Here is a 23,677-nt window from a genome sequence, read left to right as displayed (position 1 = left end):
AAGAATCAAGATACAGAACAGTGTGCGCAGGAACAAACATGAGGGGAGGCATATATGTATGGAGGGTCACCACACTTGTGCGGTGGGACCCGAGGCAGGGCATGGCCTGTGGTGGGAGCTCCAGGGCACTCGATGGAATCTCTACAAAGTCGTCTTTACAGGCGGAGATGTCCCCAGACAGTGCCCGGCCTCTCCAGCCTCAGGAAGTGTTAAGAGGCTGGGCAGTCTCTGATGCGTGTGTATGTGTGTCTGTATGTGTCTGTGTGTGTCTGTATGTGTCTGTGTAGGTGTTAGAGCCCATTCCAGCACGAGGTGGACCTCAGACACCTGTTTCAAGCCATGGCTGGATGCCCACCCTGCAGAGTGAGCTGTGTAGGCTGGGATTGGCTGAGATCCCGCTGTGTGCTGGGAGAGGGAGGGGAGGTCAGGTGTCCTGGTTCTCTGGTCCCAAGATTTCTTCCTGACCCCTGATATAAAAGATCCATCCTGTCTTTGCACAGCTGATGGTGGCAGCAGTTTCCGTGCCCAGTGGTGTCCCCAGGAGCAAGCTAAGTAGTTAAAATGAAACATAGGTAGGTGGCAGGCCTGTGTCCTGGGTGGGCTTCCTTCTGCCCCGTGATGCTTTCTCCTAGGACCACCCAGGGGCTGCCCAGAACCAGCCTAGAGTGAGGACTGAGCCTGCCACTTATCACTTGGGGGCGCAACACTCCAAGCTGGCATCCAGGAGCCAGGTCTCCACCATGAAGCTGAGGAATCACCAGCCTTCATAGAGTCATACAATTTCAGGGCTGGCTGCTGCCCTGGGGACCATCATGGCTCACTCCTCTCCTGTGTCCCAGTGGCCTCTGTGTCCCCACACTAAGCCTGGAGACAATAGGTGCTTAGTAAGTGGTTATTGTTGGCTAATTCACAAATAAAATAAACCTAACCCTCTCAATTTACAGATGAGTACACTAAAGCCCAGACCTGGGAAAGGCCATCCAGGGACTCCCCACCCACAGCCAGCAGGGCCACCACTACCCGGGAGCCCAGGTCCCCCAGGTCCAGAACTCTGGCGGGAGGCTTTGAGTTGAGGTTGCTGGATGAGAATCCCAACAAAACAACATGAGAAAAATGTCCGATGACCCTCGACGTTGCCACCCCCCTGTCCCCCCGCCCCCGCCCTGCTCTTTCAGGAGCCCCCGCCCTTCCTGGCCTCTCCTCGGCTGGACTCACCAGGGAGACGGAGTTGAGGATGATGCCAGAGAAGGTCATGCCCATCAGGAACCGGAAGACGCAATAGGCACTGAAGGAGCTGAAATACGCTGTGGCGGCCCCCGAAGCTGCCAGCTGCAGGTAGGACCAGACCAGGGGGCCCTTGCAGCCCAGCCTGAGTCCAGAGAATGGGCACAGGCATTAGGGTTTTGGGAGGCAGCAGCAGCATCCCCCAAGGAACAAATGGGCAGCCCACGCCTGCCCCTTTCACCCGAGCAGGGGATTATCAAGGCAGTCCCGGGGAAGATGGGGTACCCCGCGAAAGCCACCCTTCCAAAACAGAAACTTGAAACTGCTGGGACCCAGGCTTCGTGGCAGAGGTTGGTCACAGACAGAGGGACATAGTGTAGAAGGAAGCTGGCGAGGAGATTTAGTCCGGGCTCGAGGAAAGGCAGGGATTCTGCAAAGCCCCAGAGGGGCGTGTGGCAGGTGGGGAGAGGTCACCTGAGCACTGCTGTGGCTGGAGGGAGGCCTCGAACCAGAACTCACAGCGGGTGAGCCCTTGGCCAGTCCCTGGTGTGGGAGCAGGAGCCAGGGTGGAGTCATTATGTGGACCAGAGGGTTGCCATGCCACAGAGGGGCCCAAGGACAGGATGGCAGGGTGATCTGCCCTGTTTGCAAATGAGGGTCCAGGGCCAGAGCGCACAGCCTCAACTTGGCCAGCAGGGAAGCAGGCCAAGAAGACAGGCAGCTTTTCTTCTCCACACACTCCATGACCCACTCGCTTGCTCGCCCACTCACTCACCCACCCACTCACTCACTCGCCCACCCACCAACCCACCCACTCACTTACCCACCCACCCACTCACTCACCCACCCACTCACCCACCCACTCACTCACCCACCCACCCACTCACTCACCCACCCACTCACCCACTCACTCACCCACCCACCCACCCACTCACTCACCCACCCACCCACTCACCCATCCACTCACCCACCCACTCACTCATCCACTCACTCACCGACTCACTCGCTCACTCGCTCACTCACCCACTCACCCACCCACTCACTCACCCACCCACGCACTCACTCACCCACCCACGCACTCACTCACCCACCCACTCACCCACCCACCTACTCACTCATTCACCCACCCACTCACTCACTCACTCACCGACTCACTCGCTCACTCATGCACTCACTCACTCACCCACCGAGCCACCCACCCACTCACCCACTCACTCACCCACCCACCCACCCACTCATTCACCCACCCACTCACCCACCCACCCACTCACCCACCCACCCACTCATCCACTCACTCACTGACTCACTTGCTCACTCGCTCGCTCACCCACTCACGCACCCACTCACTCACTCACTCATCCACTCACCCACCCACCCACCCACTCACTTATCCATTCACCCACCCACTCACTCACTCATCCACTCACTCACTGACTCACTCGCTCACCCGCTCGCTCACCCACTCACTCACCCACCCACTCACTCATCCACTCACTCGCTCACTCGCTCGATCACCCACTCATCACCCACCCACTCACTCATCCACTCACTCACTCGCCCACTCACTCATCCGCCCACTCACCCACCCACCCACTCACTCACCCACCCACTCACTCGCCCACTCACTCATCCACCCACTCACTCTCCCACTCACTCACCCACTCACTCATCCGCCCACTCACTCGCTCACCCGCTCACTCGCCCACTCACCCGCTTATCCACCCACTCGCTTGCTCACCCGCTCACTCGCTCGCCCACCCGCTCACTCGCTCGCCCACCCGCTCACTCAGTCACTCACCCGCTCACTCGCTCAGTCACCGGCTCACTCACTCACTCACTAGTCCACTCACTCACTCATCTGCCCACTCACTCGCTCGCCCACTCACTCGCCTGCTCACTCACTCACTCACTCGTTTCTTCATTTCTTCATGCATTCTTTCATTCACTCATTCATTGTGACACAATGTTCATTGATCATTAATCACCTCTAAGTGACAGGCCTGAGTTGAGGGTTGGTGACAAACAAGACATTCTGGATAAGACACAAGCTCACATGTAGAAAGACCAGGGTGTATCATGACACGGTGTGATGAGGGCCTGAGGTGTGTGGCACAGGGAGCCATCTACACTCCAGAGTGTGGGGTGGAGTCCGGGAGGGCCCCCCAAACCTGAACTGAGAGAAGAAGGGCAGAGGAGAAGGGAGAGGGGAGAGAGAGCGAAGAGGAGGAAGGGGAAAGAGGTGCAGAGAGAGAGACGTAGGAGCCAACTTCAGAGCCATGAGCTGGCTGCACATCGTCTGTCAATAGGGGTCAGTTAGGTGCAGTGCTCACACCTGTAATCCCAGCACTTTAGGAGGTAGAGGGAGGAGGATTGCTTGAGCCCAGGAGTTCGAGACCAGCCTGGGCAACATAGTGAGACACCCCCCCCCACCCCCACCCCCCGATCTCTACTAAAAATAATTTTTTTTTTATTAGCTGGGTGCGGTGGTGCGTGCCTGTAGTCCCAGCTACTGGGGAGGCTGAAGCAGGAGGATCACTTGAGCTCAGAAGGTTGAAGCTGCAGAGAGCTATGTTTGTACCACTGCCCTACAGCCTGGGTGACAGAGTGAGACCTCACCTCTAAAAAATAACGGGGAACAAGTTAGGGCCCATTCATACAGTGGGATGTAGTGTAAAGACTAGGAGGAATGGGACAGCTCTTTCTGAAGGAATAGGAGAGGCCTCCAAAGCGAAGAAAAAGCCGGGTGCAGGACCACGTGGGGTGTATGCCAGCATTTGCACAAAAAAAGGATGACCAGGCCTGTCACCTCAGCTACTTGGGAGACAGAGGCAGGAGAACTGCTTGACCGTAGAAGTTTGAGACCAGCCTGGCCAACATAGTGAGACCTCATCTCAAAGAAAAAAATGGGGGCACATGAAGAAGAAAACAAATACAAAACAGGAAAAGAAAAATGGGGGAATGGAACATATACACCCACTTGCTTGACTGCATAGAATCATAAAATGTCTCTGGTAAAAGGCATAGAAAGCAGGCTGCCCTCTGGGGATTACTGCAAGGAGGGGCAGAGCAGGAAAGGGGTGATCCCCGGCAGACTCTTCTGTGCCTTTCGGGATTTGAAACCATGTGAATGTACTATATGTATTATCTGTTTAAAATGCACAAATCAACTGTAACAAAGAAAAATGAATGCAGAGGCCTAGGCTTTCTGGCCCGCACTGGGTGGCTGGGGCCCTTATCCCCACGGGCTCACCTGTCTGCCAAGCTGCCAAACACGGCAGCCCCCACCAGCACCCCGGCCATGTAGACGGACTGCGCCAGGTCTCGGAGAGTGCGGGCCTCACACACCAGATCCCACTGCAGGGAAGACATGGGCGCTTCAGACTGGGCCTCGGCAGCAGCCCCCCCACACACCCAGCCCCTTCTGACCTCCATCACGATGGTGGACGGGAAAACACTGCGGTTATAGACCCAGCCGTCCTTGCAGCCCTCCGTGGCCGCGCCCGGGATGGAGGAGTTGGGGCTCAGCAGGGCCCACTGAGGCTTGGTGAAGCGCCGGCAGGGCTCAGGGGCCCCAAGCTGGTCCAGGGGTATGGTGGCCCTCAGCCAGGCCCCCGAGTCGTTGGTGGAGGCCTCAGTGTGGTTGGCAGGGCCCCGGCAGTGGTGGGGGGGGACAGCGGCCGTGAAGTTCTGCAGGAAGTTGTGGCAGGCCAGCAGGCCGCAGGGCAGCAGCAGCAGGGCTGTGTGGTTGAGCTGGAAGCGGCCCATGCTGCCCAGAGCATCCAGCAGGTCTGTGAAGGCCATGGCCATAGGCCTGACCTGAGGCCCAGTACCCCCGGCTTTATGTAGAGAGGCCGGGAGGGGCCCTGGGAGGGGGAGGAACAGGCCAGGGGTGAGGACTGCAGACATCCTGTGCACCCTGTGTCGGAGGGCTCAGGTTACACCCCATAGGAGGGTTCAGGTGTCCCCACATCTGCAGGGCTCCCCTCCCCCATGCCCTTTCTCTAGCTCTCTCCATCTCTCACCCCGAGGGCTGAGTCACAGCCTACCACCCATATCCGCAGGTCTGGCCGCCCTGCCCACTGCCCTCACCGACAGGACCCCAGCAGTGAATGGAGCACCATCACCTTCCCTTTCCTCCAGAGGACACCGAGGCATGTTCGGGAGCCCCGATTCTGGCTTTGGCACATGGGACACAGTCCCTGTCTCTAGGCTCCAAATCACAGCTGGAGCCTTAAGTGCTGAGAGTTCAGAATAATGGGATGCAGTGTTTACAGCTGCTTACCCTTCCCCCACTTCCCGAGAAAGCAGGGACTTGGCTGCACAGGTGACACGTGGGAAAAAGCCCTTTTAAAATGCCCAAATAGGCCAGGTGCAGTGGCTCATGCCTGTAATCCTGGCACTTTGGGAGGCCAAGGCAGGCTGATCACCTGAGGTCAGGAGTTCTAGACCAGCCTGGCCAACATGGTGAAACCCTCTCTCTACTAAAAATACAAAAGTTAGCCAGGCATGGTGGCGGGCACCTGTAATCCCAGCTGCTTGGGAGGCTGAGGCAGGAGACTCGCTTGAACCCGGGAGGTGGAGGTTACAGTGAGCCGAGATCACGCTACTGCACTCCAGCCTGGGCAACAAGAGAGAAACTCCATCAGAAAGAAAGAAAGGAAGGAAAGAAACAAAGCAAGAAAGCCCAAATAGGGCAGTCAGGAAGAAGCCCTGCTCTTCCCACCTCTACCTCAGTGACTCAGAGTTTATGAGAGGTTAGGGTCCCAGGTCATCCAGACGTGGTGTTCCCATCCCCACATCAAATAAAACCCAATCCAGAGAGCAAGTAAGGGTTTGAGCAAGATGGCAGGGCCCTGCAGACCCTCCTGCCCTCCAGCCCCTCACACACCAGCCCAAGCTGCAGGAAGAGCTGAGCCACTGCCCTCACTGCTGAAGACTCTGAGCCCAACAGGACCTGGACTCCCAGTGAGGAGGTGACAAGGGCAAAACGCAAGCTCAAGATAGCAGTGTGCGGGCAGCCTTCCCCATGGGGCACACAGGGGCCTCCACCTCCATCTCCACCCCAACGCTGGGGCCCACAGCAGCTGACAGCAGCCAACTCCCACCCTCCCCCACCTCGGCCTCTGCTCTGCATTTGCAGCTTCGCCCCATCCCCTCTTCCTTCCCCCAAACCACTCTTATCTCTGGTAAGAAAATCCCAGATCCCAGCAGGCCCTGGAGCGGCTTATGTAAGTGCAGGTGTCTGGGTCACAGGGGCTCCCCACAGAGGGACCTGAAGGCGGCTCTGTGCTCGGGGGAGCTCTCTGGGGGGCCGGGTGTGTGCTAAGTAGAGGTTTGAATTTCAGCCAGAGCCTCACCTCAACGGGCCGAAGTGTGCAAGAAAGGTAGGGGTCAGGCCTCCTGGGCGGCGGGGAGGGCATGTAGGATCAGCAGAGCCATGTGGGACCTCAGCTGTGTGGCCCTGTCCCTGCAGCTAGGGCCCCTCCTTCCCAACCTCCCAGGGCCAGGGGTGGTCTTGCCCAGATACCCAGTACTCCAGTAGGGGTTCAAGCTTCAAGGTCAAGGGGAAGGAGATGGAGGGGTTGGAGGGGAGGGGTGAGCTGAGGCCACGAGCTGCCCCCATGGGCCGGGGCCTGCAGGTGCCCTCCAGGCAGTAGGCTGGGGAGAAACACATCACAGACAGATGTGGGGCCTTTTATTATTTGGGGTTCCTCTATATGGAACACGGGACCTCCCCACCCCAAGCCTAGTGCCTCTGGCACCCCCATAACCAGTACACAAGTCCCTGAAGAGTCCCCTTTAAAATCACTAATATAAAAAAGGAGCGAAGGAGGGAAGGCCGACCGCCCACAGGCTGGGCAGCTCCTGGTCGGCAGCAGGGCCAGGGAAGGACAGAGGGGGCGTTGGCTTCGGCGCAGGAAGGCACAGGCGTTCCCAGCCCCGGGGCCTCCCCGAGCCGGGAGGCGGCTCCACACGCCTGGACTGCAGACTGTGTCGAGCTAGTGGTTATAGTTTATAGTCTGCAGGCAAGGCCAGGCCGGTGGTGCTGAGTGGGTGGCCTCTGAAGTGGGGAGAGGGGACACATCAGGATGCTGGGGAAACCCGGGGCTGTCCCGAGGCAGGAACAAGCGAAAGCTGCCTTCCTGGCTTGGCAATGGGTGGGGCCCAGGGAGTCCATCCCGAGCCCATGGCTGGCACAGGCAGGGGCCACACAGTTCTGCCCGGAGCAGATGAACGATGGTGGCTGGGAGGAGAGGGGACAGGAGGACGAGGCTGCCTCTCTGCTCCAAGGAAGGCACTTGCAGCTGGGGTGGCCTGGTGTGGTGTGGTAGGAGGCGAGGCTTGGCAGACGAGGAGGGAGGGGAGCACGGCAAGGGGGACCGAGTCCCTGCCTCATGCAAACATGGTCAGCTGCAACCACTGCGGGAGAACAGGCAGGTCAGCTGGGGCCGCAGAAATGGCTCCCTGGCTTCTTCCCCACCCAAACCCCAGGTCCAGCCCCCAACTCCACGTCTCAGGAGCCACCTCAGGAACCTCATGGAGGGGTTACTTTCTTACCTCCTCCACCCCTGGGAAACCAGAGTGCTGCTCCCATAGGGGCCTCCAAGGGCCTGGACCTCCCCTCCTGCTCCTTTCCCAGAATCCAGACACCCCCACCCCAGCCTTTCAGGATTCAGGTGGCCCGGGCTTCAGGGTTGGCTCTGAGGCCCAGGCTCATTTCCAGGAAAGGACAGGGAACACTGGCCAGATAAGAAAATTCGATCGCCTGGAACTCTTCCCCAACCATGGGCCCAGGGAGGTTCCCACCTTAAACAAGTCAAAGGTCACAACTCCATCCAGATCTGTGTCCAGAGTTTTGAAAAATCCTGTGTGTTCAAGAAAAGGTGATACAGGGCTGAAAACTCAGTGGGATATTCACGCAGGGCCAGGCCTGGCCCCCTTCCTGCCTGGTCCCTCTCTACCTCCCCACAGTACCGCAAGCTGACACCCCTTGAAGCTGGGAAGCTTCACCCCTTCCTGCTGCCTGAGAAGCCACTGTCAACTCCCTCCCTCCCCGACTCTCCTGGCACTCAGCCAGGGCCCCCCAAACCCAGACCCAGGCCTCTCTGGCACACACCCACAGCACTGGCCTGTATCTGCTAATTCACCCATCTGTCATTCCCCCCAGCTCCTGGGGGACGCGTTTGGGACGGAGCTGGAGGGTGGGAGGCAGTTGGGGACACTCACGGAACATGGTCTCTAGCCGCACCAGGCAGCAAACGAAATTGTCAAAGTCGACCGCCAGGTCGGGCTCCGAGTAGCGGGTGATGATGAGCTCGTACAGCTTCTTGTTGAGCTTGAAGCCTGGTCCAGGAGAGTGAGTGAAGGTCAGTGAGGCGCAGCCCCTGCCCAACAGGATGGGGGAGGGGTTGGGTCCCCAGGAGGGGGCTGGGGCTAGGCAGGGTGCTAGTAACCGTGGGGAAAAGGACAAGATGGCTGTTACCATGTCACCACTAGCACCCCAGGGACAAGGGCCTGGGGCATAGGAGCAGTGGGGCTACCTGTCCTGGGCCCCACAGGTGCCGTCAGCCTTGGAGTCTCACCTGCCGACTCAATGGCCATCCGCATCTCGTAGGCACTCATGCTGCCCGACTTGTCCAGGTCAAACTTCCGGAAGATGGACTGAGGTGGCGGCAGAGGGTGAGGGCCAGGCTGAGTCACCCGGCCCTTCCCACCTGCCCGGCCCGCACCTGCATGACTGAGGTGAGTGGGGACAACCTACCAGGTAATTCCGGATGCGGTTCCACAGGATGTTGAACTCCACCAGGCCCAGCTTCCCATTGCCATCACGCTGGGTGGCCGTTAAGAAGGAAATTCCATCACTTAGACCAGTCATGGGAGAGTGGGCAACTGTGCAGAAGGGGAGATGGCCGCCGAGCCGGCAAGTCGACTTGGGGCTGGGTGAGGAGAAGCAGCAAAAGCCATGTACAGTCAGCCCACAGCCGGGCTTGCCTTATTCTCTGAGCTGGGCTGCAGTGGAGTGGGCTGGGGAGGGGTCAGAAATAGCACCAGCCTCAGGGTCAATGGGGACCCAGGTCTTGCTCCACCTTTCACTTGACACAGGTCTGTGCCTCAGTTTCTCCCTCCCAACCAACAGGAAGACGTCCAGGGAGACATCTGAGCATGGGGCACTGTGTGTCCACACTCCGCATGGCTCTGTCCTGTTCTCTGTGCTGTCCTGGGACAGTTCTCCCAGCACCGATACCTCCACCCAAAACCCCACTCAGGAGACAAAAGCAAACGGAAGGATACATCCATGAGGTTCACCATGCTGCGGCACGACTCTAGGCTGAAGCCCTTGGTCCGCAGGTCTTTGTCTGCAAGAAAAACCAATTCCAACATCTCCACCTAGTGAGCTTCCTGCACCTGCCCCTGCTGGGAGCACTGGGTGGGGCAGAGTCAAGGACGCACAAATCCTGACGAGTGGGTGCAATATCTGGCAGAGGAAGTGGGCAGGATTGTTTGTATCATCAGGAAGTACAAGTAAAGTATTTTAGCAATCAAGCCAAAGTCCCAACAGCCACAATTAGTCCAAAGTAAAAAGAAATGAGTGTGAAACAGAAGAGCGAGAAATTGGGTAGAAAGATGGGGCAGGGCAGGGCTTGCTGTAGGCTAGGAGGGTAAGCAGTGCTTCACTAGCAGAGAAGAGGAGGAGAAAAGCTCTGCTTAAGGAAACCGTGTGGATGGAGGTCAGTGGCAGCAAAGGGGAGGGGAGGGGATGAGAGGCCAGCAGTTGTCTGCCCTGGGGAGTGAAGCCAGTCACGTGGTGTTCCCCAAGCCACTCAGCCTGGCCCAGGAGGCTCTGGGAGGAAAGGTAGACTTTTCTTTGGCACTAAGGTGCTGCTCCTGCTTTTTTTTTTGAGACAGGGTCTTGCTCTGTTGCCCAGGCTGGAGTGCACTGATGTGATCACAGCTCACTGCAGCCTTAACCTCCCTGGTCTCAAGCCATCCTCCCAACTCAGCCTCCTGAGTAGCTGGGACTATAGGTGCATGCCACCACGCCCAGCTAATTTTTGTACTTTTTTGCAGAGACAGGGTCTCTCCATATTGTCCAGGCTGGTGTTGAACTCCTGGGCTGAAGCGACTCCTGCCTCGGCCTCCCAGAGTGTTGGGACTACAGGTGTGAGCCACTGTGCCTGGCCAGGCTGCGCTGCTAATCCCACAAAGGCACAGCACCCGAGCACAGGGATTATCAGGATGGCAGGTCAGGAGGAGGAGTATGGGATGGAAATGGCAGGGAACTGGGCTCAGAAAAACTGGAGGATTCCCCGACTCATGCAGACCAAGGGATGAGGTTCAGCTCAATGTGTGAGCAGGAGCCTGGATTCTGATGTGGAAGAAATGGTGGGGTGGTGGGACAGCCCCGCGGGGACTCACGTTTGCTGATGATCCTATTGAGGATTGTCCGCAACTCCTTCACGCTGATCTCCATGTCCTGGGGAGAGAGAGGAGGTGGCACCTGCCCCAGGAGAGGGCTGCCCCTCACAGGCCCCTCCCAACCTGCCATGCCCCAACCTACCTCCCCTGCCAGCTGCCTGAAGAGGGCCTTGAAGTTCTCGTCAATCTCCTCTTCTGAGAGCACTTGCTGGACCGAGAAGGGGAGAAAGCAGGTAAGAGAGGCCCCGGCCCTGCCCGTGTGGAGGCAGCTGGAGGGAGGGCTGAGGTCACATATCTGCTACAAGTCACTTCGCTTCTCTGAGCCTCACTTTTCTTTTCTTTTCTTTTTGAGATGGAGTTTCACTCTGTCACCCAGGCTGGAGTACAGTGGCGTGATCTCAGCTCACTGCAACCTCCGCCTCCCGGGCTCAAGCCATTCTCCCTGCCTCAGCCTCCTGAGTAGCTGGGATTAAAGGTGCCCACCACCATGCCCGGCTAATTTTTGTATTTTTAGTAGAGACGGGGTTTTGCCATGTTGGCCAGGCTGGTCTCAAACTCCCGACCTCAGGTTATCCGCCCGCCTCAACCTCCCAAAGTGCTAGGATTACAGGCGTGAGCCACTGAGCCCGGCTTGAGTCTCACTTTTCTAATCTGAAAAGGGAATCTCGTTCCTGCCCTGCCCTGCCCCGCCCCATATCCAGCACTCATGTGACCTAAATGAAGGGGATGCTGTTCAGCTCAGTGAGTAAAAGGCAAGAGTTTGGGCCAGGTGCGGTGGCTCACACCTGTAATCCTAGCACTTTGTGAGGCCGAGGTGGGTGGATCACTTGAAGTCAGGAGTTTGAAACCAGCCTGACCAAAATGGCAAAACCCCGTCTCTACTAAAAATACAAAAATTAGCCAGGTGTGGTAACGTGCGCCTGTAATCCCAGCTACTCAGGAGGCTGAGGCAGGAGAATCACCTGAACCCAGGAGACGGAGGTTGCAGTGAGCCGAGATCACGCCATTGCACTCCAGCCTGGGTGACAGAGTGAGACTCTCTCAAAAAAAAAAAAAAAAAAAAGGCAAGAGTTTGGATCCCTACTGTATGGCCTCAGGCAAGTTCCCTAACCTCTGTGAACCTGAATTTCCCATTCAGAGGAGGTATGGTAACAAGACCCGGACAGGGTTGATGTGGGGAGGAAATGAGGTAACACAGGTGAAGTGCTCAGCACAAACCCGCCACCGGGTGAGAGCTCAGGGCCTGTGCCATTAGTATCACAGGTCCTCTGCAAACTGTAAAGTGCTGGGCGGATGAGGGATTAGCACTACTCCTATGGCTTCCACCAGGAGGGGATCTTCCCTGTTAGCAGGAACTCAGGGGACAGGACACCTGGGTCCCCATCACACACCCAGGGGTGAGGAAGAGAGGAGGACGGGGCCTGGTGGGGTGGGACCACGCACCTCATCGGGGAGATTGGCCTGGATCTGGTCATCCAGCTCCCTGCAGAGAGTGGGGAGGAAAGGAGCCAGTCAGAGGGGGACAGCAGAGGGCCTGAGAGGGGAGGCTGGGAGAGGGGAGAGTGGCAGGGGCCAGTCCATGACTCACACAGTCCCAGCACTCTTCTCTGAGAAGAAGCGCAGCACGAAGTCGCCCTCCTTGTTGGGCTCGAAGGTGGAGGGCACCACCACATACTCCCCGGGTGGCAGGCGGAAGCGGGTGCTGACCTCTCGCAGGTTGATGAACTGCTCTGAGCGCGCCCGAGACGCATTGGCCAGGAAGAAGTCACGCTTCAAGTGTACGGCCGGCTGGCCCACCAGCTGGTGGGAGGGAGGAGGGAGCAGGGCTGCAGCTGCCCACTCAGCCCACCCTCAGGGGCCACCCCCAGACCCAGACTCCAGGCTCCTTGTCCTGGCCAAGGGGCTGGAGAGCTGGGGCATGGCTCACTCACAGCCTGTGTGACCCTAACAAGACATTTTGCCTCAGTTTCCTCATCTGTAAAATGTAACAACCCTACTCACTGCAGAGGGTAGAGGAGAGGAGCACCGGATTGCAGATTAGGCATGTGTTTCAATAACACTGTCATTATTATCACTGGGAGCTTTCCCCAGGTCAGGTACTGCAGGGTACTCGGCACCTCATTTGCTGTTCTGCTGTTACACCCATTTTACAGACACAAACACAGGCTCGGAGCTTAAGCAACTGCTCAAGGGTACAGAACTCTCAGCCTGTCTAATGCCCTGCTCCTGACATTGCTGGACCGCCCTAGTTGGCACTTACTTGGTGTAGATGGCAAGGCAGGAAAAGCCTCATGTGTACATGTCAGACAGGGGCTCTGAGGACCAGGGCTCAAATCCAGCTCCCTCACTGACTACCTGTGCTGACCCTCAGGAGAGCAATGTTTGCTCTGCCCACTGAACAGGTGGGGAGAAGCATTTTTCAAGCAGTGAAACAAGGTGACTTCTTAGCTCTCCAGGCCAGGGTGGGTTTGCCACTGGGTTGCTCCCCTCTGGCACCATCAGGGGTGTGTGACTGCAGGTGGGTCATGGTGCCACACCTACCTCCGGAGGGACCTGCAATAGAGAGACAGGGGAAGTCAGAGATGTGTGTTTGTCCCAGGGCGGGGTCACAGTGCATGCTGGGCAGAGGTCTTGAGTTCTTAGACGGGACTGATGGGATAAGGAGGCAGAAGGCAGGGCCCTGGGGACCCAGATCTGGTCCCTGCACCACAGCAGGGCCCCAGGAGGGAGGGCTCAGGCAGGGTCCTCTTGGTCCTGGGAATGCTTGCCCTAGGACTCCATTCTGAGTCAGAGGCTCCAGGCCAGCCCCCGGGGTGGCCAACTGCAATGTTCCAAAGCCCAGGGACAGGAAAGGGCCACCGCAGGCTGCTGCCAGGGGGTTTGGGTGTGGGCCAAGACTGCGACCAGGGAGGTCCAGAAGTTTCTCTCCCTGTCTTGAGGGCAGTGTGTGAAGCAGGGCAGATACAGGGCAAGAGCAAGGAGTTCTAATCCCAGAGCGACTGGCACAGCCTCACCTTGGCCGACAGGCCCTCCCTATCCCCTATCTTTCCCCTGCCAGCTTCTGCTCACAGCTTCCAAGACGGAGGGCTCAGTACTCCCAGGCATCAGCTGAGCCAGCTCCCTCCTCCAAGAGCAGCAGGCCGCCCTCTAAGCGTGAGGTGAATCCCAGAATCTCCCTTCCCTGAGCCAACCCCCTTCCTCTCTTTCGGCCAGAGGGCCTCAGCAGGTGCCTCCTGGAGGCTGAGATTTCCCAGCCCTCAGGATGGTGGGGGGAGTGGAGGGGAATTTGTGGGGAAGGGCATGGTCCCTGGCGCCCCCTGGTGGAAGCCCGCCTGCACTGCGGGTCGGGGGCGCCAGGTCCTCTGCCTGCTCAGTGAGATCCACCGGTGATCCACCCTCCTGACCTCGTAGACCGCGAAGCCAATAGTCTCCATGTCGCGGCCGAAGCGGCGCTCGCGGCGACGGTGCTTCTGCATAAGGGCGAGCACGAAGCTGCAGCCTGACTCGCGGTCCCCGTAGTCGTCCGGGTCATCCGTCTCATCCAGCCGGATCTTGAACTGAGGGTTCACCCAGAAGGTGGCTGCGGGCAGGTGAGGAGGCGGGGATCAGAGGCAGGGCGGGGCAGAGCCAATTGGCCCCCAAGCCTCCTCAGCACGTCCCTGTGCACGCATTCATTCATTCAACAAATATTATTGAGCACCTGGAACATGCAGGGTGATGGGCAGGCTGGGCCAGGCTCGGTCCATGCCCTCACGGCCTGCATTTGGAAACTAGAGGCTTAAGTCTGAGCAAGTCCGTTAGGTTAGCGAGCAGAGCAACTGCAAAAAAAAGCAAGCAGGAGTAGATCAGAGTAGGGGACCTATGCGCTGAGACCCGAAGGGGCTGCCCTGGGAAGCTGCTGAGAAGCAGAAGCCAGGCGGAGGGCACCCCAGAGCAGAGGTGAGGAAGGGCCCCACGCATCTGCGGACAGGGAGCACTTACGGAGGCTCTAGGAAACACGGAGACCCAGGGAGGCCGCAGAGCTCCCAGGAGCCGGCCAGGGACTAGGGCGTGTGGACTGAAGCAAAGGGTAAGAACCCTCCCACAGCTTGCAGCGAGGAGGCATGTGACTGCATTAGGACTCTAAAAGGTGGCTCGAGTGCTGCGTGGACAACAGCTTAGAAGAAGGCAAGAGAAAAAGCAGGGGTCCGACAGGAGGCCACAGCCAGCCAGCAAGGGAAGGCAGGGGCTTGCATTTCTGGCAGTTGGGTGATTTTGCTGCCTAAAGAACCTTCTTGACTAAAACAACCCAGTGCGGGATAGAACGGTAAACTGCAAAACTTATTTTTAAAGGCACTAATAAGCCACTGCATCCCCTGCCCTCCATTGACAATAATAATAATAATAATAAAGATAATAACAACTTGGGTGAGGATGTGGAGGGATGGGAACCTCACAGGATGCCGGTGGGAATGTAAAATGTTGCAGCTGCTCCGAAGAACATTCTGGCACTTTCTCAAAAGGTTAAACACAGAGCTTCATATGACCCAGAAATTCCACTCCAAGCTCTATACCCAAGAGAAATGAAAACGTGTCCATGCAAAGCCTTGTTCATAAGAGTGTGGCAGGGCGCGGTGGCTCACACCTGTAATCCCAGCGCTTTGGGAGGCCCAGGCAGACGGATCACTTGAGGTCAGGAGTTTTGAGACCAGCCTGGACAATATGGTGAAACTCCACCTCTACTAAAAATACAAAAATTAGCTGGGCATGGTGGCCCATGCCTGTAGTCCCAGCTACTTGGGAGGCTGAGGCAGGAGAATCGCTTAAACCTGGGAGGCGGAGGTTGCAGTGAGCTGAGATCGTGCCACAGCACTCCAGCCTGGGCGACAGAGTAAGATTCAGTTTCAAAAACAAACAACCCACAAAACTAGCTGGGCGTGGTGGCACATGCCTGTAATCCCAGCTACTCAGGAGGCTGAGGTAGGAGAATCGCTTGAACCCAGAGGCAGAGGTAGCAGTGAGCCGAGATCGTGCCACTGCACTCCAGCCTGGGCAAGAGAGCAAGATTCCATTTAAAAAAAAAAAGAGAGAATGTTAATGGCTGCATTATTTATAACAGCTGAGTGGATGAAACTACCCAATTATCCATCAACTGAAGAGTGAATATACAAAATATGGAGCCAAACAATGGGATATTATTTGGCAACAAAGAGGAACAACATTCTGATCCATGCTACAACATGGAGGAACCTTGCAAACATTATGCTAAATGAAAAAGGCCAGCCACAAAGGACCATGTATTATATGATCCTGTTCACATGAAATATCCCAGTAGGCAAATCCATAGAGATAAGAAGTAGATTTGTGGTTGCCAGGGCTGCTGGGAGGGCTGGGGAGTCATGGCTAAGGAGTACCTCATTTGTTTTTGGGATAATGAAATGTTCTAAAATTGATGTGGTGATGGTTGCACAACTCTGTGAATATACTTTAAATAGTATATTTAAATTGTATATTTAATAGTATATTTAAATCGTAATATATGGCCAGGTGCAGTGGCTCACACCTGTAATCCCAGCACTTTGGGAGGCTGAGGCAGCTGGATCACCTAAGGTCAGGAGTTTGAGACCAGCCTGGCCAACGTGGTGAAACCCCGTCTGTACTAAAAATGCAAAAATTAGGTGGCCATGGTGGCAGGTGCCTGTAATCCCAGCTACCTGGAAGGCTGAGGTAGGAGAATTGCGTGAACCCAGGAGACAGAGGTTGCAGTGAGCCGAGATCTGGCCACTGCACTCCAGCCTGGGTGACAGAGCGAGACTCCATCTCAATAAACAAACAAACAAACAAATAAATAAATAAATAAAATCGTAATATACTTCAGTACATTTAAATTGTATATTTAATAGTATATTTAAATTGCAACTTTAAATAGGTGACTTGTATGGTATGTGAATTAAGTATCAATAAAGATATTTTTAAAAAATAGAAAGTAGGAACCCTGCAAGGTAAATAATGCTAAAGGGCTTCTGTAGACCCCTGAACCCCAGGGTATAGAAGCAGATGATAAACATCTACCTGAGGTAGAGAATCCAACAGGAAGTTCCTGCAATTAAACTGGAACCCCCGTCAGGAATGTCAGCAATGAAGTATGAAAGAAAATTAGGCTGGGCGCAGTGGCTCACGCCTGTAATCCCAGCACTGTGGGAGGCCGAGGCGGGTGGATCATTTGAGGTCAGGAGTTTGAGACCAGCCTGGCCAACATGGTAAAACCCATTCTCTACTGAAAAAATACAGAAATTAGCCAGGCATGGTGGTGGGCACCTGTAGTCCCACTTACTCGGGAGGATGAGGCAGGAAAATCGCTTGAACCCGGGAGGTGGAGGTTGCAGTGAGCCAAGATCATGCCACTGCACTCCAGCCTGGGCAACAGACCAAGACCGTGTCTCAAAAAAAAAAAAACAAAAACAAAAGCCGGGCGCGGTGGCTCACGCCTGTAATCCCAGCACTTTGGGAGGCCGAGACGGGCGGATCACGAGGTCAGGAGATCGAGACCATCCTGGCTAACACGGTGAAACCCCGTCTCTACTAAAAATACAAAAAAATTAGCCGGGCGTGGTGGCAGGTGCCTGTAGTCCCAGCTACTCGGGAGGCTGAGGCAGGAGAATGGCATGAACCTGGGAGGCGGAGCTTGCAGTGAGCCGAGATCGCGCCACTGCACTCAAGCCTGGGCGACAGAGCGAGACTCCGTCTCAAAAACAAAAAAAAAGAAAGAAAGAAAATTAAACCTCCCTGGAGGGAAGGAAAAAATAACCTCAAGCCAGGCTTCACATGACCTTTCAGTTTTAATTCACACTGCCTGTGAAACCTTAAGAAGATAATTTAGTCTTAAAAGCGTCCTGCACCAGGCACAGTGGCTGATGGACTGTAATCCCAGTGTTTTGGGAGACCGAGGTGGGAGGACTGCTTGAGCCCAGGAGTTCAAGACCAGCCTGGGCAACATAGGGAGACCCCATCACTACAAAAAGTAAGAAAATGAGCCAGACGACCAGGCGTGGTGGCTCACACCTGTAATCTCAGCACTTTGGGAGGCCAAGATGGGCGGATCATGAGGTCAGGAGATCAAGACCATCCTGGCTAACATGGTGAAACCCCATCTCTACTAAAAACACAAAAAATTACCCGGGCGTGGTGGTGGGCACCTGTAGTCCCAGCTACTGGGGAGGCTGAGGCAGGAGAATGGCACGAACCCGGGAGAAGGAGCTTGCAGTGAGCTGAGATTGCGCCACTGCACTCCAGCCTGGGTGACAGAGCCAGACTCCGTCTCAAAAAAAAAAAAAAAAAAAAAAAAAAAAAAGCCAGGCATGGTGGCATGGATCTGTAGTCCCAGGTAAATCAGGAGGCTGAGGTGGGAGGATCACTTGAGCCCAGGAGTTCAACACCAGCCTAGCCAACCTAGCAAGACCCCATCTCTCCAAAAAATGTAAGAAGTTAGCTGGGCGTGTGGTGTGTGTCTCTATCATAGTCCCAGCTACTTGGGAGGATAGTTTGAGCCCAGAAGGCTGAGGCTGCAGTGAGCTATGATTGCACCACTGCACTCCAACCTGGGTGACAGAATGAGACACTGTCTCAAAAAAAGAACAAGGCGGCCGGGCACGGTGGCTCACACCTGTAATCCCAGCACTTTGGGAGACCAAGGTGGGTGGATCACGAGGTCAGGAGTTCAAGACCAGCCTGGCCAAGATGGTGAAACCCTGTCTCTACTAAAAATACAAAAAATTAGTCAGACATAGTGGCACACGCCTGTAATCCCAGCTACTCAGGAGGCTGAGGCAGAGAATTGCTTAAACCTGGGGAGCAGAGGTTGCAGTGAGCCGAGATCACACCATTGCACTCCAGCCTGGGCGACAGAGTGAGAGTCCATCTCCAAAAAAAAAGAACAAAGCTGGGTATGGTGACTCAGACTCACGCCTGTAATCCTAGCACTTTGGGAGGCTGAAGCAGACAGATCGCATGAGTCCTGGAGCTCAAAACTAGCCTGGGCGAGGTGGTAAAACCCCATCTCTACAAAAATTAGCTGGGCATGGTGGTGTGTGCCTGTAGTCCCAGCTACTGGGAAGGCTGAGGTGGAAGGATTCCTTGAGCCTGGGAGGTCGAGGCTGAAGTGAGCTGAGGTTATGCCATTGCACTCCAGCCGGAGCAAGACTGTGTCTCAAAAAATAAGTAAATAAATAAAAAAGAACGAAAAAGGTGTTCTGGATTGGTGGCATTCCAGGTGACTAGCAGAAACACCCCGGAGCAATTTAACTTTATCTGAGGACTCAAAGAACTCTCTCACGGGGCAGAGATCTCACAAGCAAACAAGGCGTGATAACTGAGCAGCAGCCACAGTGGACAAAAACTGACCACTAAGACTTCAGATATTGACCTTATCAGACACAGAATATAAGACTATGCTTACTATGTTTAAAGAAATAGATGAAAAGTTTGAAAATTTGAGCAAAAATGAACAGATTTGAAAAGATCCATTACATCTTCTAGAAACAAAATTTTTAAAATTGAAATTAAGTTCTTGGAAGAAATAACTAACAGATTTGACAGAGCAAAAAAGAAAATTAGTGAACTGAGAAAGGAGCTGAAGGAACAACCCAGAATGCAATCCAGAGACACTAAGAGATGGGAAATCTAAAAGCAAGGTTAAGAGAAAGAGAGGATTGAGTGAGAAGGTCCAGTTTAGATTTTATTAGAATATACAGAGAGTGGGAAGGAGGTGATATTCTCAAAGATCATGACTACAAATTTTCTAGAATTGTTGAAAGGTATCAATTCATAGCCAGGAAGTTCAATACATTCAAGGCAGAATGAAAAGAAATCCATACCTCCACACATCATGGTGAATCGTATAGTATGAAAGAAAAAAAAAATTAAGATTTTTTCCAGAAGGCAAGGTAGACAGACTCCTGGCTCACATAGCAATGATGGAAGCAGAACAGGACTAATAGTGTCTTTGAGAGGCTGAAAATAATGTCAAGCCAGAATTCTATATCCAGAGAACTGTCAAGAATAAGCACACTATAAAGGCATTTTAGACAAACACTGAGAAAGTTTATAACCAACAGACCCTTGCTAAAAAATAAAAATACAAATACAAAAAGGGCCAGGTGTGGTACTTCATGCCTGTAATCTCAGCACTTTGGGAGGCTGAGGAGGGTGGATCACTTGAGGCCAGGTGTTCGAGACTAGCCTGGTCAACATGGTGAAACCCCATCTCTACTAAAAATACAAAAATTAGCTGGATGTGGTGGTGCACACCTAGAATCCCAGCTACTTGGGAGGCTGAGGAAGAAGAATCGCTTGAACTTGGGAGGCAGAGGTTGCGGTGAGTGGAGATCGCGCCACTGCACTCCAGCCTGGGCGACAGAGCGCGACTCCGTCAACTGCCCCCCAACCCTCCCAAAAAAAATTATCTGGGCATGGTGGCATGTGCCTGTAGTCCTAGCTACTTGAGACACTGAGGTGGGAGGCTCACCTGAGACCAGGAGATCAAGCCTGCTCAAAAAGAAAACAAAACAAAGGAAATACAAAAGGATATGTTTCGGGTGGATGGAAAATGATCTCAGATGAAAGGTCTGAGAATGCTGAACAAAAATACTTTTATTTGTGGGTAATCCAAATAACATGGGCTATCTCAAATCATGATGATGTTTAAATTATGGCAGGAAAAAAAAACTTTAGAATTAAAATACTAGCCCACCATAGCATAATATACAAAGGAAAGGGGTGATTCAAGCTGAATTTCTAAGGTTTATGCATTGTTCACGAGGAGGGTAAAGTCATTGATTAGGGCTGGGCACAGTGGCTCACGCCTGTAATCCTAGCACTTTGGGAGGCCGAGGCAGGTGGATGGCTTGAGCTAGGAGTTTGAGACCAGCCTGGGTAACAGAGCAAAACCCCATCTCTACCAAAAAAGTGCAAAAATTAGCCAGGCATGGTGGTGTGCACCTGTAGTACCACTCAGCTACTCGGGAAGCTCAGGTGGGAGGATGGCTTGAGCCCAGGAGGCAGAGGTTGCAGTGAGCTGAGATCACGCCACCACACTCCAGCCTGGGTGACAGAGCCAGACCCTGTCTCAGAGAAAAAAAAAAAAGACACTGATTAACTAACTTTAGTATGTATTAAGCAAACTCTTATGTCTTTCAAACTCACAGAGAAAAAAATTAGTAGAGAGAAAAGCAGGAACTCAACACAAAAGGCAGCATGACAGGAAGACAAGCAGAAAATAAGTAAACACAGTAAGTCAGCTGAAATAAATACAGCATTAATCACTGTGAGTGTAAATGAACTAAACTCTCTAGTCAAAGGACAAAATATTCCTTTGTCTTTTTTTTTTTTTTTTTTTTTCAGATAGAGTTTTGCTCTTTTCACCCAGGCTGGAGTGCAATGGCACAATCTTGGCTCACTGCAACCTCCACCTCCCAGGTTCAAGTGATTCTCCTGCCTCAGTCTCCCTAGTAGCTGGCATTACAGGCACCTACCCACCTTGCCCGGCTAATTTTTGTATTTTTGGTAGAGATGGGGTTCCACCATGTTGGCCAGGCTGGTCTCGAACTCCTGACCTCAGGTGATCCGTCCACCTGGGCCTCCCAAAGTTCTGGGATTACAGGCGTGAGCCACTGTGCCCAGCGTGGACAAAATTTTTCAAACTGGATTACTAAAAAGCTGGCTAGTGCTGTTTACAAGAAAACAAAACATTGGGCTATAGAAAGATTGGACATCAAACAGTATAAAAAGATATATTTTAAAAATTCAACAAAAAAAAACCCTGAATTAGCTATAGAAACATTGGCTGAAATAGACTTGAAAGTAAAAATAATTATTAGAGATGAAGGTGGTCACTAGATTTTAAAAAATGTTTAATTCACTAGGCGCTTATAAGAATTCTAAATGTGATGTACCAAATATCATAGCTCAAAATATATAATGAAAAATAATTGATAGAAATACAGAGAGAAATTGGCAAAGCCATTAGGATGTTATAAGATTTTTATCATCTTTCTTTCTTTCTTTCAGTAATTGATAGATTAAGCAGACAAAACAATAAGTTTGATATAATGGACAATTATAGAACAATCCCCCTAGTACTCAGAGAATAGCGTACTGGCTGAGAGAACAGACTTCAGGATCCCTCTGCCTGGGTTCAAATCCCAGTTTTGCCACTTCATAGATCAGTGACTTCATCAAGTTGCTTAAATCTTTCTGTGCCTCAGTTTCTTTATTATCCCTAAGATAAGGATAATAATAGTTCCTGCCTCATAGGCTCAGTGTGAGTTAAGCTAATTATCATATTTAAAATACTTAGGAGTGCTTCACCTACAGTCACAATTTGTTAGCCAGTCTTTTCAAGAACGAAGGAACCTTTATGAAAATTCATCATACACTGAGCCATAGCACCAGCTTCTGTTCACTTCAAAGCTATGATCTTATGTAGGTCACATTTTTTTACTATGAGAAAATTAAGTTAGAAATTTTTTTATGTTTTAAAAAACATTCTTCTAAAATAACTAGTTTATCGGAAAGAGATGATAATGGTAATGAGAAATTACATAGCATGGCCATGAAAAATGTACATATATTAAAAGAGAGAGCTATCAAATCAATAACCTAACCTTCCACCTTAAGAAACTAGAAAAGGCAGTTAAATAGAAGGAATAAGTTCTAGTATTTGACAGTAAGGCAGGGGAAATTATAGTTAACAGTAGTTTACTGTATATTTCAAAATAGCTAGAAGAATTGTAATGTCTCCAACACAAAGAAAAGATAAATGTTTGAGGCGATGGATCCCAATTACCCTGATTTGATCATTACACATTGTATACGTTATCAAAATATCACATGTACCCCAAAAATATGTCCCACTATGATATATGAAATAAAAAATGGATTTATTAAATTAAAAAAAGAAACTAGAAAATGAACTTTCACTGGTTCTTGGGATTTAAGAAAAAAGAAAATGGGCAAATTGAACCCAAAGCAAGCAGAAGAAAAGAAATAATGAAGATTAAAGTCCAAATACATGAAATAGAGAATAAACAATAAAGAAAAATCAATAAAACCAATAGTTCTTTGAAAAGCTCAACAAAATTGACAATTCTTTACCTGGCCTAAACAGGAGAAAAGACAGAGGACTCAAATTACTAAAATCAGGAATTAAAGAGGGACATCACTACCAGCCTAACAAAAATAAAAAGATTACAAGGAAACACTATAGACAATTATATGATAATAAATTAGATAATATAGACAAAAAGAACAAATTCCTAGAAAGAAACAAAGCACCAAAACTGACCTAGGAAAAATAGAAAATCTAAATAGACCTATAATAATAAAAAGACTGAATCAACAACAACAAAAAACTTCTCACCAAAGAAATGTCCAGGACCAGATGGCTTCGAAATTCCACCAAACATTTAAAGACAAATTAACACCAATCCTCAAACTCTTCTAAATAACTGAAGATGAGGGGACACTTCCTAACTCATCCCAGGAGGCCAGCATTACCTTAAAGCCAGATAAAGACACCACAAGGAAAGAAGATTACAGACCAATATCACTTATGAATATAGATGCAAAAATCCACCCCCTCCCAAAAAAAGCGATGAACCCAACCCAACAGCATATTAAAAGGAATATACACCATGATGAAGTGGGATTTATCCCAGGAATGCAAGGGTAGTTCAACAAAGGAAAGTTGATCAATGTAATATACCACATTAATAGAATGAAGGGGAAAAAAACCTCAAAATGATCATCTCAATTGATGCACAAAAAGCACATCAGTTCATGATTTTAAAAATTCAGAAAATTGGCCGGGCGCGGTGGCTAACACCTGTAATCTCAGCACTTTGGGAGGCTGACGTGGGCAGATCACGAGGTCAGGAGTTTGAGACCAGCCTGACCAACACGGCTGGTCTGAAGGGTGAAACCCTGTCTCTACTAAAACTACAAAAATTAGCTGGGTGTGGCAGTGTGCACCTGTAGTCCCAGCTAGGGACTAAGGGAGGCT

General features: G+C 52.4%; 1 protein-coding gene and 1 pseudogene across 7 annotated transcripts in view, besides 10 other annotated features; both read right to left on the bottom strand.

Annotated features, from left to right (window-relative positions):
• The window catches only part of SLC22A20P (solute carrier family 22 member 20, pseudogene), a 28,918-nt pseudogene extending 23,854 nt beyond the window's left edge, over positions 1–5,064 (bottom strand). Inside the window, exons 1-3 of the transcript NR_033396.1 lie at positions 4,651–5,064; positions 4,475–4,578; positions 1,216–1,369 (exon numbers count right to left, since the gene is read on the bottom strand). The product of NR_033396.1 is annotated as a solute carrier family 22 member 20, pseudogene (transcript). The remainder of the gene's footprint in view (positions 1–1,215; positions 1,370–4,474; positions 4,579–4,650) is intronic.
• Positions 1,065–1,628: an enhancer, noted in NCBI's record as "H3K4me1 hESC enhancer chr11:64984747-64985310 (GRCh37/hg19 assembly coordinates)". NCBI's record gives its function as "activates a minimal SCP1, AML or CMV promoter by ChIP-STARR-seq in primed H9 embryonic stem cells {active_cell/tissue: H9 hESC(primed)}" and the evidence as "EXISTENCE:reporter gene assay evidence [ECO:0000049][PMID:30033119]".
• Positions 1,629–2,192: an enhancer, noted in NCBI's record as "H3K4me1 hESC enhancer chr11:64984183-64984746 (GRCh37/hg19 assembly coordinates)". NCBI's record gives its function as "activates a minimal SCP1, AML or CMV promoter by ChIP-STARR-seq in primed H9 embryonic stem cells {active_cell/tissue: H9 hESC(primed)}" and the evidence as "EXISTENCE:reporter gene assay evidence [ECO:0000049][PMID:30033119]".
• Positions 4,220–5,135: an enhancer, noted in NCBI's record as "NANOG-H3K27ac-H3K4me1 hESC enhancer chr11:64981240-64982155 (GRCh37/hg19 assembly coordinates)". NCBI's record gives its function as "activates a minimal SCP1, AML or CMV promoter by ChIP-STARR-seq in primed H9 embryonic stem cells {active_cell/tissue: H9 hESC(primed)}" and the evidence as "EXISTENCE:reporter gene assay evidence [ECO:0000049][PMID:30033119]".
• Positions 4,599–4,648: an enhancer, noted in NCBI's record as "active region_4950". NCBI's record gives its function as "activates an Ori minimal core promoter by ATAC-STARR-seq in GM12878 lymphoblastoid cells {active_cell/tissue: GM12878}" and the evidence as "EXISTENCE:reporter gene assay evidence [ECO:0000049][PMID:35858748]".
• Positions 5,136–6,052: an enhancer, noted in NCBI's record as "NANOG-H3K27ac-H3K4me1 hESC enhancer chr11:64980323-64981239 (GRCh37/hg19 assembly coordinates)". NCBI's record gives its function as "activates a minimal SCP1, AML or CMV promoter by ChIP-STARR-seq in primed H9 embryonic stem cells {active_cell/tissue: H9 hESC(primed)}" and the evidence as "EXISTENCE:reporter gene assay evidence [ECO:0000049][PMID:30033119]".
• Positions 6,898–23,677, bottom strand: part of CAPN1 (calpain 1) — a 30,634-nt gene continuing 13,854 nt past the window's right edge. For all 6 annotated transcript variants that reach the window (NR_040008.2, XM_006718698.3, NM_001198868.2 and 3 more), the window contains 12 exons: positions 14,046–14,221; positions 13,183–13,194; positions 12,230–12,441; positions 12,085–12,124; positions 10,784–10,849; positions 10,642–10,699; positions 9,517–9,581; positions 8,987–9,055; positions 8,808–8,886; positions 8,452–8,568; positions 8,032–8,090; positions 6,898–7,644 (listed from right to left, as the gene is read on the bottom strand). Coding sequence is in view for 5 of the 6 variants with exons in the window: in XM_006718698.3 (XP_006718761.1) it covers positions 7,618–7,644; positions 8,032–8,090; positions 8,452–8,568; positions 8,808–8,886; positions 8,987–9,055; positions 9,517–9,581; positions 10,642–10,699; positions 10,784–10,849; positions 12,085–12,124; positions 12,230–12,441; positions 13,183–13,194; positions 14,046–14,221 (980 nt within the window). In the remaining variant the exon portion in view is untranslated. The remainder of the gene's footprint in view (positions 7,645–8,031; positions 8,091–8,451; positions 8,569–8,807; positions 8,887–8,986; positions 9,056–9,516; positions 9,582–10,641; positions 10,700–10,783; positions 10,850–12,084; positions 12,125–12,229; positions 12,442–13,182; positions 13,195–14,045; positions 14,222–23,677) is intronic.
• Positions 7,402–7,605: a silencer, noted in NCBI's record as "fragment chr11:64978770-64978973 (GRCh37/hg19 assembly coordinates)". NCBI's record gives its function as "represses an EF-1alpha promoter that drives an FKBP-Casp9 reporter gene in an ReSE screen in phorbol 12-myristate 13-acetate-treated (for megakaryocytic differentiation) K562 erythroleukemia cells {active_cell/tissue: K562(+PMA)}" and the evidence as "EXISTENCE:reporter gene assay evidence [ECO:0000049][PMID:32094911]".
• Positions 8,296–9,495: an enhancer, noted in NCBI's record as "P300/CBP strongly-dependent group 1 enhancer chr11:64976880-64978079 (GRCh37/hg19 assembly coordinates)". NCBI's record gives its function as "activates an origin of replication core promoter dependent on BRD2, BRD4, P300/CBP, MED14 and CDK7 cofactors, with strong dependence on P300/CBP, by STARR-seq in HCT116 cells {active_cell/tissue: HCT116}" and the evidence as "EXISTENCE:reporter gene assay evidence [ECO:0000049][PMID:35650434]".
• Positions 13,725–13,914: an enhancer, noted in NCBI's record as "active region_4949". NCBI's record gives its function as "activates an Ori minimal core promoter by ATAC-STARR-seq in GM12878 lymphoblastoid cells {active_cell/tissue: GM12878}" and the evidence as "EXISTENCE:reporter gene assay evidence [ECO:0000049][PMID:35858748]".
• Positions 13,956–14,943: an enhancer, noted in NCBI's record as "H3K27ac-H3K4me1 hESC enhancer chr11:64971432-64972419 (GRCh37/hg19 assembly coordinates)". NCBI's record gives its function as "activates a minimal SCP1, AML or CMV promoter by ChIP-STARR-seq in naive and primed H9 embryonic stem cells {active_cell/tissue: H9 hESC(naive and primed)}" and the evidence as "EXISTENCE:reporter gene assay evidence [ECO:0000049][PMID:30033119]".
• Positions 18,849–19,049: a silencer, noted in NCBI's record as "peak1300 fragment used in MPRA reporter construct". NCBI's record gives its function as "represses an SCP1 promoter by STARR-seq MPRAs in K562 erythroleukemia cells {active_cell/tissue: K562}" and the evidence as "EXISTENCE:reporter gene assay evidence [ECO:0000049][PMID:32103011]".

This window comes from Homo sapiens, chromosome 11 (genome assembly GCF_000001405.40).
Source record: "Homo sapiens chromosome 11, GRCh38.p14 Primary Assembly".
NCBI classification, from domain to species: domain Eukaryota; kingdom Metazoa; phylum Chordata; class Mammalia; order Primates; family Hominidae; genus Homo; species Homo sapiens.
This window is presented reverse-complemented; position numbering and strand designations above follow the sequence as displayed.